Here is a 15224-nt window from a genome sequence, read left to right on the forward strand (position 1 = left end):
AGTAATCGGGATATCCATCATCTTCCTTATTTTTTCTTTATGCTAGACAGATTCAAATTACTCTCTTCTAGATATTTTGAAATGTACGATAGATGATTATTAACTGTAGACACCCTACTGAGCCATTGCACACTAGGTCTTACTTCTTCTATCTAACTGTGTATTTGTACCTCTTGATCAAACTGTCTTCATCACCCCACCCCCTACCCTTCCCAGCTTCTGGTAACTACCTGAGATCCACTTTTTTAGCTCCCACATATGAGTGAAAACATGTGATATTTGTCCTTCTGTGTTTGACTTATTTCACTTAACATAATCACCTACAGCTCCACCCATGTTGCTGCAAATGACAGGATTTCATTCTTTTCTGTGGCTTAATACTATTTTATTGTGTATCTGTATACACCACATTTCTTTAACCATTCATCCACTGATGGGCACTTAGGTTGATTCCATATTCCAGCTATTGTGAATAGTGCTACAATAAACATGGGAGTGCAAATATCTCTTCAACATACTCATTTTCTTTCCTTTGGATATATACCCAGTATTAGGATTGCTGGATGACATGGTAGTTCTACTTTTAGCTTTTTGAGGAAGCTCCATACTGTTTTCCACAGTGGCTATACTAATTTACGTTGCCACCAACCAGGTACAAGGTTTCCCCTTTTTACACATGCTCACCAGCATCTGTTATTCCCTGTCTTTTTGATAATAGCGACTTTAACTAGGGTAAGATGATATCTCGTTGTGGTTTTGACTTGCATTTCTCTCATGATTTGTGATCTTAGCAGTTTTTCATATACCTGTTGGGCATTTGTATATCTTCCTTTGAGAAATGTCTATTCAGATCTTTTGCACTTTAAAAAATCAGATTATTTGGGTTTTTTGTTATTGAGATGTTTGAGCTCCTTATATATTCTGGTTATTAATCTCTTGTCAGATGGATAGTTTGCAAATATTTTCTCCCATTCTGAGGGTTGTCTCTTTACTTTGTTGATTGTTTCCTTTGCTGTGCAGAAGCTTTTTAGCTTGATGTGATCCATTTGTGTGTTTCTGCTTTGGCTCCCTATGCTTCTTACACAAAAACCTTTGCCCAAACCAATGTCCTGCCATGTTTCCCCAATGTTTTCTTCCAGTAGCTTCAGAGTTTTAGATTTAAGCCTTTAGTACATTTTTATTTGATTTTTGTATATGGTGAGAGATAGGTGTCTGGTTTCATTCTGCTGCATATGGACATTCAGTTTTCCTATCACCATTTATTGAAGAGACGGTCCTTTCCCCCATTGCGCATTCTTGCCACCTGTGTCAAAAGTGTGTTGGCTGCAAAGGCATGGATTTATATCTGAATTGTCTATTCTGTTCCACAGGTCTATGTGTCTGTTTTTATGCCAGCACCATGCTGATTTCGTTACTATAGCTTTGTAGTATCTTTTGAGGTCAGCTAGAGTGATGCCTCCAGCTTTGTTCTTTTTGGTCAGGATTGCTTTGACTATTCAGGGTCTTTTGTGGTTCCGTGTAAATTTTAGGATTTTTTTTTCTATTTCTGTGAAGAATGCCATTGGTATTTTGATAGGGATTGCACTGAATCTATAAATTTCTTTGGTTAGTGTAGACATTTTAATAATATTATGTTTTCCAATCCATGAGCATGGAATATACTTCAATTGTGTGTGTCTTCTTCAATTTTTTCATCAGTATTTTCCTTGTATATATTTTTCAGTTCTTTGTTTAAGTTAATTCCTAGGTATTTTATGCTTTTTGTAGCTATTGTCAGTGAGATTGCTTTCTTGATTTCTTTTTCAGATTGTTCATTGTTGGTGTTTATAAATGCTTCTGATTTTCACATGTTGATTTTTTATTCTGCAACTTTACTGAATGTCTGAGTTCTAATAGGCTGTTGGTGAAGTCTTTAGGTTTTTCTAAAGATAAGATTATGTCAGCTGTGAACAAGGCTAATTTGACTTCTTCCTTTCCAGTTTGAATGCCCTTTATTTCTTTCTCTTGCCTAATTGTTCTGGCTAGAACTTCCACTACTATATTGAATAAGAGTAGTGAGAGTGGGCATCCTTGACTTCTTCCAGATCTTAGAGGAAAAACTTTCAATTTTTCCCCATTCTATATGATGTTAGCTGTGGGTTTATCCTATATTTGCATTTATTATTTTGAGGTATATTTCTTCCATACCCAATTTGTTGATGGTTTTTACCATAAAGAGATGTTGAATTTTATTGAATGCTTCATCATCTATTGAAATGATCATATGACTCTTATTCTTGATTCTGTTAATGTGATATATCATGTTTATTGATTTGCGTATGTTGAATCACCCTTGTATTCCTGGGATGAATCCCATTAGATCACGGTGAATGATCTTTTCAATGTGTTGTTGAATTTGGTTTGCTGGTATTTTGTTGAGGCTTTTTGCATCTGTGTTCATCAGTGATATTGGCCTGTAGTTTTCTTTTTTTGCTGCATCCTTCTCTAGTTTTGGTATTGGGTCAATGTTGGCCTTGTAGAATGAGTTTTTAGTATTCTCCCTTTTAAATTTTTTAAGAGTTTGAGCAGAAGTAATATTAGTTTTTATTTAAATTTTTGGTAGAATTAATGCCATCAGGTCCTGGCATTTTCTTTGACGGGAAACTTATTATGGCTTCAATCTTGTTACTCATTATCTGTTCATTTGAGTTTTCTATGTCCTCATGATTCAACCTGGTAGTTTTTATGCGTCCAAGAATTTATTCATTTCTTCTAGGATTTCCAATTTGTTGGTGTATAGTTGTACATCATAATCTCTGATGACTATGTCTCTTTTTTGTTTCTGATTTTATTTATTTGGGTCTTCTCTCTGCCTTTATCAGTCTAGCTAAAGGCTTAATGATTTTGTTTATATTTTTAGAAAACTAACTTTTTGTTTCATTAATCTTCTGTATTTTTAGTCTTAATTTCATTTATTTCTGCTCTGGTATTATTAATATTTTATTCTTTCTACTAATTTGGGTTTGGTTTGTTCTTGTTTTTTAGTTCCTTGAGGGCAACATTAGGTTGTTTATTTGAAGTCTTTCTACTTTTTTGATGTAAGTATTTATTTTCTAAACTTTCCTCTTAGTACTGCTTTTGTTGTATCCCATAGATTTTGGAATGTTGTATTTCCATCTTCATTTGTTTCAAGGAATTTTTAAATTTTCTCCTTTATTTCTTCACTGACCCATTGGTCATTCAGGAGCATGTTTTTTAATTTCCATATACTGTAGGAAACAGTTTCCAAGGTTCTGCTTGGTATTGATTTCTAGTTTTTTTCCATCATGGTCAGATAGGATTCTTGATTTTATTTCTACTTTTGGAAATTTGTTGAGACTTGTTTTGTGGTCTGTTTTGAAGAATGTTCCATGTGCTGATGAAAAGATTGTATATTCTGTAGCAGTTGGGTGAAATGTTCTGTAAATGTCAGTTAGGCCTATTTGGTGTGGTGTGTAGTTTAACTGCAATTTTTTGTTGTTGTTGATTTTCTATCTGGATGATCTGTCCATTACTAAGAGTGGGGTATTGAAATTCCTGCTATTATTGTATTGCAACCTTTTTCTCCCTTTAGATCTTTTAATGTTTGCTTTATATACTTGGGTGCTCTCATGTTGGATGCATCGATATTTATAATTGTTATATCCTCTTACTGAATTGACCCCTTTGTCATTATATAATAACTATGTCTCTTTTTAGAGTCTTCAACTTGTAGCCTATTTTATCTGATATAACTATAGCTATCCCAGCTCTTTTTTTGGTTTCTACTCACATAGAATATCTTTTTCCATCCCTTCACTTTTAGTCTATGTGTGTTTTTATAGCTGAAGTGGGTTTCTTGTAGGTAGCATGTAGTTGGGTCTTGTTTCTTTATCCATTCAGCCACTATATGTCTTTTAATTAGAGAATTGAGTCTATTTGCAGTCAACATTCTTATTAATAAGTAAGAACTTACTACTGCTATTTTGTTGCTTGTTTTCTGGTTGTTTTTGAACTCCTCTCTTCCTTTCTTACTGTCTTCCTTTGTGATTAAGTAATTTTCTCTGGTACTGTATTTTAATTCATTGCTTTTTATTTTTAGTGTAACTATTATAGGTTTCTGCATTGTGTTTACTATGAGGCTTACCAAAATATTTTGTGGATATAACAAATTATTTTAAAGAGATGGCAGCTTATCTTACATCACAAAGAAAAGAATAGAAACAAAGAAAAAACTAAAATGAATCTCTACACTTTCCATCCTCTCAATATTTGGACATTTTTTCTCAATTTGCATATTTTATATTGCTTATCTCTTATCAGATTGCTTTAGCTATTGTTCCTTCTGACAAATTTGTCTTTTAGGCTTCATACTAGAGTTATGAGTGAATTGCACACCACAATTACTATATTAGAATATTCTAGATTGGTCTGTGCACTCACTTTTACCAATGAGTTTTATACCTTCAAAGGCTTCCTTCTTGCGTGTTAGTGTCATTTTCTTTCAGAATAAAGAACTCTCTTTAGCATTTCTTGTAAGACATGTCTGTTGGTCATGAATTCTCTCAGCTTTTGTTTGTCTAGGAAAGGCTCTCTCTCCTTCACAGTTGAAGGATAGCTTTGCTAGATACAGTACTCTTGGATGGTGGGTTTTTTGTTTTGTTTTGGTTTGGTTTTTTTGCACTTTGAGAATTTTTTCTCAAATTTTCCTGGCCTTTATGGTTTCCATTGAGAAGTCTGTTGCCAGGTGAATTGGAGCTTCTTTATATGTTATTTTCTTCTTTTTCTGCTTTTAGGATTCTCTCTCTGTCCTCGACCTTTAAGAGTTGATTACTATAATACTTGGGGTAGTCTTATTTGGGTCAAATTTATTTAATGTTCTCTGGCCTTCCTGTACCTAAACATGTATGTCTTTGTCAAGTTTTAGAATGTTTTCTGTTATTATTTTGAATAAGTTTTCTTTTCCTTGCTCTTGCTCAACTCCCTCTTGAACACCAATAATTTTTAGATTTGCTCTTTTGAAGTAATTTTCTATATCTTGTAGGTGTCTTCATTACTTTTCATTCTTTTTACTTTTTTCTCCTCTGTCTCATTATATTTGAGTTCTGAGATAGTGCTGGTAAAAATCTCAGTACTATTTGTTTGTTTTGAGTTTCCATATGGGAGAATGAAGCCAACTTGCTTCTATGCTAACATTTTGGAACCTAAAGTGTCTGTCTACTGATTTCAATTTTTATTTCTTTAAAGTGGAACAGAATTTAAAGATTACTGTGAAGCAATTTAATCCTTCTGGCTTTGTATACCTTTTTTTTTTTTATGTTTTAAACTGCCTGGCCACACCTAACTCAACAGTATTTTGTTTTTGTTTTCATGAGACGGAGTCTCACTCTGTCGCCAGGCTGGAGTGTGGCACCATCTTGGCTCACTTAAACCTCCACCTCCTGGGTTCAAGCGATTCTCTTGCCTCAGCCTCCCAAGTAGCTGGGACTACAGGCACATGCCACCACGCCCAGCTAATTTTTGTATTTTTAGTAGGGATGTGGTTTCACCATGTTGGCCAGGATGGTCTCGATCTCCTGACATCATGATCGCCTGCCTCAGCCTCTCAAAGTCCTGGAATTACAGGTGTGAGCCACTGCACCCAGCCAACAACACTTTTTTAAAAAGCTACTTGCCTTCATTAGAATTTCCAAAACATTCTAACTTGTTTTCATAGAAATAATAACTTTTCTTTAATGTTCATATTTTATCAGTTTTCACAAGTTACTAATTATAGCAATTATAGTTACTAATTATCTTTACAATAGGGAAAGATACTTGGGAAGCAACACACCTCCTGGTACACATTCACTTCTGCTAGTTTGAGAAAGATGAGAATGTACTAAAGGTGTACCACTAATCTATGCAGTCAGCATGTCATGGGCATCAGTCAGTGTGTTTTTCAAAAATGTAGACACCTGATAATTCATGCATCAGTTAGAAGAGTTTGGTTAAGAGATCTTCTACTCACCCCAGTGATGGATTTAGCTCATTTCCACAGATGCTTGTTGATTGCTCACTCTTTACTGAACACCGGTTTTGACATTGGATATACAAAAAACAACTATGACGTGCTCTCTATTTCTAAGATCCCACAAACTAATGAGGATGGCAGAAAAGACACAAACAAAAGTTAGGAAGTGTCTCAGGATGATAGGTGCTATGGGAGAATCAGGCATAGGAAGTGTATTTAGACAACAGTAAGTCCTCAGGTATGGTTTCTTGGGAGACCCAAAATTCTTGGGTAATCTAAGCTAAATTTTGAAGGAAGAGTAGAGGTTAGTCAGATAATAAAGGATGTGGGGGAGGTAATGGAGGAGCAGAGGGAGATACTAGTCAGAGTGAATAGCCTCACCTGCTGCTGCTCCGATTCCCACCACATTGCGTCTTCTTCCTTGCTTGACCTCTACAAACTATTCTCTGTATAGCAACCAGCGTAGCCTATTAAAAACATAAACCAGACTAGATTATTCTCCTGCCTAAAATGTTCCACTGGCAGCAGGGTGCGGTGGCTCATGCCTGTAGTCCCAGCACTTTGGGAGGCCGAGGTGGGTGGATCACGAGGTCAAGAGATCGAGACCATCCTGGGTAACATGGTGAAATCCCGTCTCTACTAAAAATACAAAAAATTAGCCAGGTGTGGTGGCAGACGCCTGTAGTCCCAGCTACTCAGGAGGCTGAGGCAGGAGAATGGCATGAACCCGGGAGGCCAAGCTTGCAGTGAGCCGAGATCACACCACTGCACTCCAGCCTGGGATACAGAGTGAGACTCCATCTCAAAAAAAAAATGTTCTACTGGCTTCCCATTACCACTGGAATTAAGTCCAAACCTCCTCTCATTGCCTAAAGTGCTCTACAGGAGTGGGACCTGCCTGCATCTCAGGGCTTGCCTCAGGTCAGCACAGGAGAGGGAAGAGCAAGATAGTCCTTAGGCCTTGAAGTCATTAGAGGTGCAATGCTGTAGGGCCAGAATGGGTAAAGGAGGGAAGGTGGGATAAACAAGGGGGTTTGTGGTGAAGACATTCACTTGAAGGGGCACTTAACATGTTATCTGACCTGTGATAAGTGCTCAGTATTTGCCAATGGATGAATTATGACTGAATGAATAAAGTCACAACCTGGCCTAGAACTGGCCTTGCGTTTTTTGGGCCAGAAATGAGTCTAGGCTGGGTGCCTTGTTAGTCACTGTTTTCATCTTCTCCTCCTGATTTCCTACTTCACATTTCTTTTTTAGATTTAATGATCTGGTCAGTTCAGCCCACATGCTGCAGGTCAACCGGGCATATAATGAGAATGATGTGATCCTAATGCGGTCCAAAATGAACATTATCCAAAAACTCTTCCTGAATTCTGACATCCCTCCAAAGCTGAGGGTAAGAAAGACTCCCACTCCACTCTGGCCTTTCACCAAGAAGCATTTCCCCCACAAGGACAATTAGAAAGCTAATTGTCAGGCACCTCATAAGTCCTGGCTAACTACATATCCTTTACCTAGCAACTCCATGAAAACCGTATGCCTTTTGGAGAGGGGGTGGTCATGGGGTTCTGGGGGCCAGGAGAGGTTTTCTGCCTTCCCGTGGAGCCTCTGCCAGTGACAGGCTCCCACTCTGTGGGTAGGTGAATGTCCCTGAGTTCCAGAAGGATGCCATCCTTGCTGCCATCACAGAGGGCTACCTAGATCGGAGCGTCTTCCATGGGGCTATCATGTCTGTCTTCCCCGTTGTTATGTACTTCTGGAAAAGGTAACTGTTTCTCCTTATTCAGTGACTGTTAGGTCAGGAAAACACACTTAGTTTGGAGAGAGTTTTCTGCCTTCCTCTAGCACTCTGTTTCGTAGTTTCCAGTTTCTAGGGGGAACTAAGATGGTGTTTTCAAAATCCTATTCACCTCACTCCATCCCTCACACAGAACACCAAACACTGAATCCACAGATGGAAGGCAGAGTAAGACTGAGAGCCAAACGCCTGGTTTCCCACCCCTCCTCTTTCTATGCTTGCTTGGAGCAAGAATGTGAGGTTTTCTTAGGCCTGGGTTTCTCACAAGAAGGTAAGAGTGAACCACAGCCCCTTGGGGAGAAATTCTGTCAAGACTAACACAACTGCTTGTGCTTAAGAAGCTACATGAAGAAAGTAAGCCAGAAGTGTTTTGCTCTGTTATGCCCAAATCCCCAGAATTACCACTGAGGGAGCACAGTTGCTAGATACTCCAATTATCAAGAGGAGCTAGACATTGAAATGTGTATTTCATCTCTCCCAAGGTTAAAGTGGCAAATATGGCAACTAACAAAACTAAAACATGGTGAAGAAACTGTGAAGGCCAAAAACCAAAAATGAAACAAGCAAAATATATGCAGATATTTTGTGGCCAAATGCAATCTGTGGCCCACTTGTTTCTAACCTGTCCTGTGGAGATTTGGCCTGAGCCTTCCCAGCTGGTTATTTATTCCTGTGGTCTGCCAGAGTTCCAGCTCATATCTTCCACATGGTGAATGGCAGTGCCTTGGGTGGTAGTGACCAGAGGACACCTGGCTGAAATGTTCCCAGACAAAGCTAATCAGGACACTTAGATTATCATGTGACTTGGACTCTTAGAAGTTCCCATCTTCCACCAAAAAAAAAAGTTACTTTATTAAAATAGAAGTGTGAAATTGCTTACCAATCTCTCACCTTTATTTTAAAATCCTTGAGATAATAAACTATTTAATACAGAACCAAGAGAAGTACAAAAATCTAAGTTCAAGACAAGCAATTTAACCTTTTGAACATCAAATGTTGTCTAGAACTTAACTCTAGTTCTCCTAGCAAGGACTAAGTAGATATTCACCCAGAGACTTTTGGAGGGATTGGGAACCTCTGGGAAATATATGCTTCTCTTGAATGAGCCAGTGTTTAGCTGTCTCCCATGTGCTTAGAAAAATGAGACATGCTTTAGGGATTCTTTGGATTCCTGTTCCTCCTGCAGTTTCTTTACTTACTTTCCTACATACTTACAAAGAAATTTATGTTATGCAAACTGTGTTTACATATATTATCTTAAACGAACCTCTCCACAACCCTACACAGTGGGTGGGGAGGAGTATTATTATCCCTGTTTTACAGATGAGGAGACTGAGGTTCAGAGTGGTTGAGGGACTTGCCTAGAATCACTTGGTAAGTGGTAAAACCAGCATTAGAAACCAGGTCTCTTGGTCTCTCATCACCATAAATAATGCATGTGCGGCATACTGGGAGGTCCACTGGGGAAGGAGACCCAGTTCAGCAAGTGAAATGGGAAAAGCCTATTGAGATAGAACAGACTGTCCCTCAAGGAGAGGGGAGGAGGGCAGCAGGCAAAACCACCAGATCCAAAGTGCCATAGAAAATAAATTCAGTCTTAGCCAAGATTGACCTCCAAGGGATCCAATCCAAGGACTGGTTGAAGGTAGGGATAACAAGGGGCTTGGGGCCAGGAAGGAAGAGATGATGGGGAATATTGCACAGGCTTCTAGAGAACATAAAGGTCATAAAGAGTACATAAATCTGAGTTCACAAGAGAAACCAGGTCTATTCCAGGGAAGGGCCCGCTGGGAATAGAGTGAGGTGGTCAAGGCTGTCAGTAAGTGGCAGGGTGGAAACTAGGATTAGGACCTGAGCAAAAGCCCTTCAGACACTCTGGCCATACCAGGTGGGGTTAGATAGGGATGTCAGAGTCTGATGCTGGGGTGCACCCCAGGGGTTAACCTCACCCCAGGCCTCAGGATAGTAGGCCCTTTACAGGCTCCATTCACTGATGGTTCCAGAAAGAAGCCCCAACAAACTGCCCATGCCAGGCCCGCGCTGGAGCCAGGTCTGGACAAAGAGGAGGCCTCAGAACAAAGGCCACTGGCAGGTAGAACCCCAAGGCCAGGATGCTTTCCTCTTCTCTGTTGGACACCCACATTCTCTGAGGACTGGCCCGGCCCTGTTTCCCCTGTGCTCGGTGCTCCAGCCCCCTCCACTGGGGGTTCCCTCCTATGACCAGAAGCCATTCTTCCCACAGGTTTTGTTTCTGGAAGGCAACCCGCTCTTACTTACAGTATAGGGGGAAGAAGTTCAAGGACAGAAAAAGCCCTCCTAAATCTACGGACAAGTATCCTTTCTCGAGTGGAGGTAAGCTCCACCACGACTCACAGCCCCATTCTCCAGCAACCAAGACTTGTGAAGAGAAAGCAAGGGCCCAAGGGGCCAAATTCAAGACTTCCTTGAGGGTGTTTGCTGGAGCCGGGACAGCTCATTTACTTGGCCCTCAGGGAGACAGAGCACTCAGGGTAAAGCATGAATTACCTGTCACTAGCAGTGCTAGCAGAGGGTACCTCTCCCTAGCAATAACTCCAGGACGCCTCTGTGCATGCCGGTCACAGTCTATGCTGAGGGTACATGGAGAGGATGATCTGCTTTTCTGCTGCTTAAGAAGCCCCCTGCTCTATCTCCATTAAACCCTCCCATTAAGAAAGCATTTATTTTATAGCGTTAAGTGACAACATTAAAAACTGCATATATATAGTTTTAATGTGATAAATGTGTTTTATACATATATAATTTTTATGAAAGCAGACATATATATGTAAAACAGATATATAAAAGCATACACATATTTACTTATGTAAAAATTCGTAAAAAATAAGTAAATATGCATACATATATATATATACACACACATACAGCCATGCACCACATAATGATGTTTCAGTCAATAATAAACCATATATACAATGGTAGTCTCATACAATTATAACACTGTATTTTTACTGTGCTTTTTCTATGTTTAGATATGTTTAGATGCACAGATACCATGGTGTCACAATTGCAACAGCATTCAGTACAGTAGCATGCTGTATAGGTTTGTAGCCTAGAAGCAATAGGTTCTTCCATAAAGCCTGAGTGTGTAGTGGGCTCTGCCATTTGGTTTGTGTAAGTACATTCTATGATATTCACACAACCACAAAATCACGTAATGACACATTTCTCAGAATGTATCTCTGTCATACAGCTGTGATTGGTACTTGAGCAAAAGGGAATTTTTTTTTTTTTTGAGAGGCAGTCTCGCTCTGTGGCCCAGGCTGGAGTGCAGGGGCGCAATCTCGGCTCACTGCAAGCTCCACCTCCTGGGTTCACGCCATTCTCCTGCCTCAGCCTCCCGGGTAGCTGGGACTACAGGCACCTGCCACTGCGCCCAGCTAATTTTTCGTATTTTTAGTAGAGACGGGGGTTTCACCATGTTAGCCAGGATGGTCTCGATCTCCTGACCTTGTGATCCACCCCCCTCAGTGTCCCAAAGTGCTGGGATTACAGGTGTAAGCCACCGCACCCTGTGCAAAAGGGAATTTTAACAAGGAAGAGGTTGGTGAACAGAGCAGTGGCTGGTGAGGACAAGGCTGGGTGTCTTTCAGGGGAAAGTTCTGAAAACCAAAGAAAACAGGTCTGTGAATCTGGGAACAGCATCAGAGAGTCATAATATACAAGCTGTGAGACCTTGAGCATGGTGCTCCCCTCTCTCAGCCTCACATCCCTGATCTCATGTCTCAGCCCATTTTGTGTTACTAAAACAAAATACCTCATATTGGGTAATTCATAAAGAAAGGAATGTATTTGGCTCATGATTCAGGGGACGGGGAAGTCCAAGAGCATGACACTAACATCTGGCAAAGGGCTTTACGCTGCATCACCCCATGGTGGAAGGCAGAAGGGCAAGAGAGTGTGAGAGAGAATAAGAGACAGCTGAACTCACCTTTATAACAAACCCACTCCCATGATAATGGCAACAATCCATTCATGAGGGCAGACCCCTCATAGCTTCATCACCTTTCCTTTTTTTCAAGATGGAGTTTTGCTCTTGCTGCCCAGGCTGGCAATGGAGTGCAATGGCATGATCTTGGCTCACCACACCCTCCGCCTCCTGGGTTCAAGCAATTCTCCTGCCTCAGCCTCTCAAGTAGCTGGAATTACAGGTGAACACCACCATGCCCAGCTAATTTTATATTTTTAATAGAGATGAGGTTTTGCCACGTTGGTCAGGCTGGTCTCAAACTCCTGACCTCAGGTGATCCACTTGCCTCGACCTCCTAAACTGCTGGGATTACAGGCATGAGCCACTGTGCCTGGCTAGCCTCATCACCTTTTAAAGGTCTTGCCTCTTAATACCATCTCTGTGGCAATTAAATTTCAACATGAGTTTTGGAGGCAACATTCAAACCATAGCATCTCACATGCAAAGATTTAGATTTAGATAATGTTTTATCATTAACATTTTGTAATCTAAGTGTGTTAAACAAGAGCTTTATTGCTTACTTAGAGAGATTTATTTCAGTAGGAGTTGTCGCAGGTGTTTTTAATGCTTGTTTTTGTCCTTCCCCAGGAGACAATGCCATCTTAAGGTTCACCTTGCTCAGAGGTATTGAGTGGTTGCAGCCTCAACGGGAAGCAATAAGTTCAGTTCAAAATTGTGAGTTGGAATTGGATCCCCACTGATAGTTTGCTACTCAATCAGAGGGGGACTTTAAAACCAGCTTGGCCAATCCCCTTATTGACAATAAGGAGACTGAGACCCCCAAAATGTGAAGTAACTTGCTGAAGATCACATAGCTTGTGAGTGGCAGAGAGGAGGTGAAAATTTAGTCTCCTGACCTCCTTCCATGGCTCTGTGAGCAACTCTCATCTAAATAATCCTGTCTTCTTGGTTTTTGTAACCCCGGGAAGGCAGGTACCTTAAGCTTCTCTATATCTCTGCTGACTCCTCTTCTCATTTCCAGGCATGACGTATGATGTTTATTAAGAGACTATCACAGTGTCCTAATTGTTACTTCCCCCTCACACTGAGACCAACTGCTGATTTGAACACACCATTTCATACCTCCTGCTTCCTGGAGGCTCCTGCTATGAATCTCTTCCCTGTCACAAAACCTGCAGTTCTAACCTCGCATACTGAGGCCATATTATATTCTTTTTCTTCCCCATCTTCAGTCTCAAGGAGTCAACCCCACTCCCACACTCTAACCCTGCCTTTGTTTCCACATAGTCTCTCCTAACAAACCTTCCCTTTCTATCCCAACTGCCAGCTTCTATTAGGGGAAGAAATTGGAAATACTGCTTTTCTGCTTCTCACAGGCATGAAATGCCAGCATACCTGACCTGCCCATTTGTACGTGTTTCCTCATTGCTTCATGGGGGAGGCCACTATGGAACATTGCCTGTGATCCATAGGCTCCAAACAGCCCTAAAGTCTTGTGATTCTAGTGTTCATCTGCCCTGATCTCCTATTTTACTTCCCTAAGTCTATGTGATTGACATCATGGCCTTCGTGTCCAGATGAAAGGTTTCCTGGGACACACACAAACACACAAATTGCAGCATAGAAACAAGGTCTCCTGAATATCCCTGGAACAGGCCTGCTTTACCTTCACTTTCCAACCCCTACATTGGAGGTGTCCGTGGAAGCCCACCCAGCATGGTCCTCCAGGGTGGAGGCCTTTCAGTGACTGCGTCTATGTCATGAGTCCTGATGCAATTTTTCTCTGTATTTCTCTTTAGCTTCATCAAGCAAACTTACTCAGCCAAGACTCGTGGTATCTGCCATGCAGCTGCATCCCGTCCAGGGGTAGGCATGAGCTGGAAATCCTCTTCTTCAGTCCAGAGCTGCTATGTCCAAGCATGCAATAGGAGATGGTATAAACTTTCCAGAGACTAGCCTCATACCCTGCCTCTCCTTGGCATGCAGAACCTAGAAACTGAGCTTGCTGCCTCTGGTGGGAAGTTAAAGAGGTGTTTCTCTGTGGGGGTCCTTTCTCACCTCCAACTAGGACAGGCACTTTTAAGAAGTTGGAGTCTCTGACCCACTTTTCAGTAGAACAATACTGCTGTGGAAGTGTCCCAGATGATCTTTGATTTTTATTTTTCATTTTTATAGATTTAAGGAGTACAAGTGCAGTTTTGTTACATGGATATATTGGGAGGTAGTGAAGTCTAGGGTTTTAGTGTAGTCATGATCCAAATAGTATACATTGTGCCCATTAGGTAATTTCTCACCCTTACCCACCTCCCACTCTCGCACTCTTCCAAGTCTCCAGTGTCTATTATTTCGCGGTCAATGTCCAGGTGTACATATTATTTAGCTCTCACGTGTAACTGAGAACATGCAATACTTCACTTTCCATTTCTGAGTTATTTCACTTAAGATAATGGTCTCCAGTTCCATCCATGTTGCTGCAAAAGACATGATTTTATCTTTTTATGACTGTTTAGTATTACATTGTGTATATGTATCCTACATTCTCTTTATTCAGATGATCTTTTATTGCCAGCTTCCTAAATATTCCAGGCTGCTCAGGGCAGGGTGCATAAGGTGGGAAAGAAAGAAGATCTGTTCTTCTGCTTGGCAGGATATTGGCAATAAGAACAGAAGGGACTTGAGTCTGTTAAAATCTGCTTCAGCCTAACTCACTTCTGCACAAGCTTCCAAGTGAAACTGATGCTAAGTTAGGGCTCTGGGAGAATCCCCAGGGGTCATGAAAACCATAGCTGAGGAGTGCCAAAGAGTTATTTGAAGGCCAAGGTGGTAGACAGCAGCCTCTGAATGACAGGCTTGGTGTCCTTGCCAGCCAAGTCACTTCTCAGGCCTGTTTCCAGACTTGTCCTTCCAACAGGGACTTGAAGCTGCCCAGGAATTATTTGCCCGTCCCAGTGCCCAGAAGACAAACCAGATACTTTGAAGCTCTTTACACTGGAAAAGCAATGCATGGCTTCAGAGTTTATAAGGCCTTGGGGAAGAAGGTGAGACTAAGAATGTGAGAAGCCCTATTCTGAAGCCTGAAGGTTTCAGTTTTGGCTATTGCCATTCCTAAAGGAAATGACAGTGACAAACCAACAGAGAATGCAACCTCAATTACTGCATCATAATTGTGATAACTGGCTGTTTTCTCTCCCTTCAGACAAAAATTATCCTACATCAAAAAAGAGAAGTAATCAAGCGAGACCCCCAGCAGAGATAAATCATCTCTTAGAGGCCTCCTAACACTGACAGAAACTTTTCTGGTCAAAAATGAAAGGTCCTGGTACCATCTTCCCCAGAAACGATCAAGAAGGGCAATGGGTTGACAGCCCAGATATGGCAGGACCAGACTGCAATGGGTAAGACTTGGGCAGAGCATGAGAGGAAGCGCATCTTTCCACTACAGT

At 40.9% G+C, this 15224-nt stretch overlaps 1 protein-coding gene across 14 annotated transcripts in view; it reads left to right on the forward strand.

Moving 5' to 3' along the window:
• RGSL1 (regulator of G protein signaling like 1) overlaps positions 1–15224 on the forward strand; it is a 112721-nt gene that overhangs the window by 93170 nt on the left and 4327 nt on the right. For 11 of the 14 annotated variants that reach the window (XM_017001193.3, XM_017001191.1, XM_017001192.3 and 8 more), the window contains 6 exons: positions 7271–7409; positions 7654–7778; positions 10054–10163; positions 12409–12495; positions 13581–13647; positions 14978–15176. In XM_017001193.3, coding sequence (XP_016856682.1) covers positions 7271–7409; positions 7654–7778; positions 10054–10163; positions 12409–12495; positions 13581–13647; positions 14978–15011 — 562 coding nt within the window. In that variant the 3' untranslated portion in view covers positions 15012–15176. Of the gene's footprint in view, positions 1–7270; positions 7410–7653; positions 7779–9134; positions 9186–10053; positions 10164–12408; positions 12496–13580; positions 13648–14675; positions 14820–14977; positions 15177–15224 lie in introns of those variants that run through there. The other 3 variants (XM_017001188.2, XM_011509494.3, XM_047419638.1) reach the window with 3 other exon arrangements.

The sequence above is a fragment of the Homo sapiens genome, chromosome 1 (genome assembly GCF_000001405.40).
Source record: "Homo sapiens chromosome 1, GRCh38.p14 Primary Assembly".
Classification (NCBI taxonomy): Eukaryota; Metazoa; Chordata; class Mammalia; order Primates; family Hominidae; genus Homo; species Homo sapiens.